Raw genomic sequence first — 3,928 nt, 5'->3', positions numbered from 1 at the left:
GTGGTGCTGAAAAAAAGTATATTCTGTTGATTTGGGGTGGAGAGTTCTGTAGATGTCTATTAGGTCCGCTTGGTGCAGAGCTGAGTTCAATTCCTGGGTTTCCTTGTTGACTTTCTGTCTCGTTGATCTGTCTAATGTTGACAGTGGGGTGTTAAAGTCTCCCATTATTAATGTGTGGGAGTCTAAGTCTCTTTGTAGGTCACTCAGGACTTGCTTTATGAATCTGGGTGCTCCTGTGTTGGGTGCATATATATTTAGGATAGTTAGCTCTTCTTGTTGAATTGATCCCTTTACCATTATGTAATGGCCTTCTTTGTCTCTTTTGATCTTTGTTGGTTTAAAGTCCATTTTATCAGAGACTAGGATTGCAACCCCTGCCTTTTTTTGTTTTCCATTTGCTTGGTAGATTTTCCTCCATCCTTTTATTTTGAGCCTATGTGTGTCTCTGCACGTGAGATGGGTTTCCTGAATACAGCACACTGATGGGTCTTGACTCTTTATCCAATTTGCCAGTCTGTGTCTTTTAATTGGAGCATTTAGTCCATTTACATTTAAAGTTAATATTGTTATGTGTGAATTTGATCCTGTCATTATGATGTTAGCTGGTTATTTTGCTCGTTAGTTGATGCAGTTTCTTCCTAGCCTCGATGGTCTTTACATTTTGGCATGATTTTGCAGCGGCTGGTACCGGTTGTTCCTTTCCATGTTTAGCACTTCCTTCAGGAGCTCTTTTAGGGCAGGCCTGGTGGTGACAGAATCTCTCAGCATTTGCTTGTCTGTAAAGTATTTTATTTCTCCTTCACTTATGAAGCTTAGTTTGGCTGGATATGAAATTCTGGGTTGAAAATTCTTTTCTTTAAGAATGTTGAATATTGGCCCCCACTCTCTTCTGGCTTGTAGGGTTTCTGCCGAGAGATCTGCTGTTAGTCTGATGGGCTTCCCTTTGAGGGTAACCCGACCTTTCTCTCTGGCTGCCCTTAACATTTTTTCCTTCATTTCAACTTTGGCGAATCTGACAATTGTGTGTCTTGGAGTTGCTCTTCTCGAGGAGTATCTTTGTGGCGTTCTCTGTATTTCCTGAATCTGAACGTTGGCCTGCCTTGCTAGATTGGGGAAGTTCTCCTGGATAATATCCTGCAGAGTGTTTTCCAACTTGGTTCCATTCTCCACATCACTTTCAGGTACACCAATCAGACGTAGATTTGGTCTTTTCACATAGTCCCATATTTCTTGGAGGCTTTGCTCATTTCTTTTTATTCTTTTTTCTCTAAACTTCCCTTCTCGCTTCATTTCATTCATTTCATCTTCCATTGCTGATACCCTTTCTTCCAGTTGATCGCATCGGCTCCTGAGGCTTCTGCATTCTTCACGTAGTTCTCGAGCCTTGGTTTTCAGCTCCATCAGCTCCTTTAAGCACTTCTCTGTATTGGTTATTCTAGTTATACATTCTTCTAAATTTTTTTCAAAGTTTTCAACTTCTTTGCCTTTGGTTTGAATGTCCTCCCATAGCTCAGAGTAATTTGATCGTCTGAAGCCTTCTTCTCTCAGCTCATCAAAGTCATTCTCCATCCAGCTTTGTTCCGTTGCTGGTGAGGAACTGCATTCTTTTGGAGGAGGAGAGGCGCTCTGCTTTTTAGAGTTTCCAGTTTTTCTGTTCTGTTTTTTCCCCATCTTTGTGGTTTTATCTACTTTTGGTCTTTGATGATGGTGATGTACAGATGGGTTTTTGGTGTGGATGTCCTTTCTGTTTGTTAGTTTTCCTTCTAACAGACAGGACCCTCAGCTGCAGGTCTGTTGGAGTACCCTGCCGTGTGAGGTGTCAGTGTGCCCCTGTTGGGGGGTGCCTCCCAGTTAGGCTGCTCGGGGGTCAGGGGTCAGGCACCCACTTGAGGAGGCAGTCTGCCCCTTCTCAGATCTCCAGCTGCGTACTGGGAGAACCACTGCTCTCTTCAAAGCTGTCAGACAGGGACATTTAAGTCTACAGAGGTTACTGCTGTCTTTTTGTTTGTCTGTGCCCTGCCCCCAGAGGTGGAGCCTACAGAGGCAGGCAGGCCTCCTTGAGCTGTGGTGGGCTCCACCCAGTTCGAGCTTCCCACTGCTTTGTTTACCTAAGCAAGCCTGGGCAATGGCGGGCGCCCCTCCCCCAGCCTCGGTGCCGCCTTGCAGTTTGATCTCAGACTGCTGTGCTAGCAATCAAGGAGACTCCATGGGCGTAGGACCGTCCGAGCCAGGTGCGGAATATAATCTCATGGTGCACCATTTTTTAAGCCTGTCAGAAAAGCGCCGTATTCAGGTGGGAGTGACCCGATTTTCCAGGTGCGTCAGTCACCCCTTTCTTTGACTTGGAAAGGGAACTCCTTGACCCCTTGTGCTTCCCGAGTGAGGCAATGCCTCGCCCTGCTTTGGCTCGCGCACGGTGCGCGCACCCACTGACCTGCGCCCACTGTCTGGCACTCCCTAGTGAGATGAACCCGGTACCTCAGATGGAAATGCAGAAATCACCCGTCTTCTGCGTCGCTCACGCTGGGAGCTGTAGACCGGAGCTGTTCCTATTCGGCCATCTTGGCTCCTCCCCAGTATATATGTGTTTTACTCCAATCTCTCAACCTATGCTTGATTATATTTTCTAGTTACTAGTGTTCTCTTTATTTATATCCTCTGTAGTGTAAAGGGGCTTTTATTTTTTAATTGATTTATTGTTCTTTACAATTTCTTTGTCACGATTCATAAATTTCCTTTTGAAATATTCTTATTGTCTCATTACATTTTCCTATTATTTGAGGTTCTTTTTTATTCAGGTTAATATGTCACTTTATTCAATGTCTTTGAAATTATGAGAACAAAATATTTTCATTATATGCCTCTAGTTTTTTTAAATACATCCTCATATGATGTAGATCTTTTATTTGCTTTTTAGCTTAGATACACTTTCTGTATTGATTTTCAGTATTTATGCTTAGGTTCTGTGTTTTGTTTTGAATTATTACTTTTTTTTTTTTTTTTGAGACAAGGTCTTGCTTTGTCATCCAGGCTGCAGTGCAGTGGCACCATCATGACTCTCTGCAGCCTCAACCTTCCAGGCTCAAGCAAGCCTCCCACCTCAGCCTCCTCAGTAGCTGGGACTACAGGTGCGCATCACCACGCTCAGCTAAATTTTTTTTTATTTTTTCGTAGAGATGGGGTTTTGTCATGTTGCCCCATGGTTGGGGCACAACTCCTGGTCTACAACTCCTGGGCTCAAGTGATTCTCCTGCCTTGGACTCCCAAAGTGCTGGCATTACAGGTGTGAGCCACCACCCACAGCCTATTACTCATTTTTAAATGAAACCTTTAAAAAAAAATAATTAGGTGGGTGGTATAGGGGGAGTAAGCTGGGGTAGTTAATGATTTTGTTTCTGATTTATTGGTTTGAAACCACCTTGTCAAACATTTAGTTTCCTTTACCCTGATAATTAATTTTTTCCTTAACTATATTTTTAAAGTTTTTGATGTTTAAGGGCTTCAGATAGCATAAAACAAAGCCCTTATACTACAGGATTTTGACGCAAAGACATAGAAATTACTGCCCTACTTCCATATCATGTCCCACTTTTCATCAAGAAGCTTATCTAGGGTTATAATTCATAGAAAATGAAAACTGGAAGTAAATATAGTTTCTTTTTCCACTCTGCAGTCTCTGCATTCATCACTATTATGCTGTGTCCAGCTGAATTTATGTGATGATGCTCCTTATTCCTGCTATGCTTTAGTCACACCTCAAAATCTCACCATTTCATTCAAGATATTTGAATAGGACTAACACTTTTAGAAAGATTAGCTCTCTTCTCAAATTCTGAAAAATTGTATACCAGCTCTAAGTTTTGTTCAGTTTGGGCCAATTTTAATGTAGTTGGTCGGAGCACTTTGTATATTTTAGTGCGTAGCTATT

General features: G+C 42.5%; 1 annotated feature.

Annotated features, from left to right (window-relative positions):
- Positions 1,730-2,329: an enhancer, noted in NCBI's record as "H3K27ac-H3K4me1 hESC enhancer chr12:89241015-89241614 (GRCh37/hg19 assembly coordinates)". NCBI's record gives its function as "activates a minimal SCP1, AML or CMV promoter by ChIP-STARR-seq in primed H9 embryonic stem cells {active_cell/tissue: H9 hESC(primed)}" and the evidence as "EXISTENCE:reporter gene assay evidence [ECO:0000049][PMID:30033119]".

This window comes from Homo sapiens, chromosome 12, assembly GCF_000001405.40.
Source record: "Homo sapiens chromosome 12, GRCh38.p14 Primary Assembly".
Classification (NCBI taxonomy): domain Eukaryota; kingdom Metazoa; phylum Chordata; class Mammalia; order Primates; family Hominidae; genus Homo; species Homo sapiens.
Note: the sequence above shows the minus strand (reverse complement) of the source record. Positions and strands in the feature narration are given on the sequence as shown.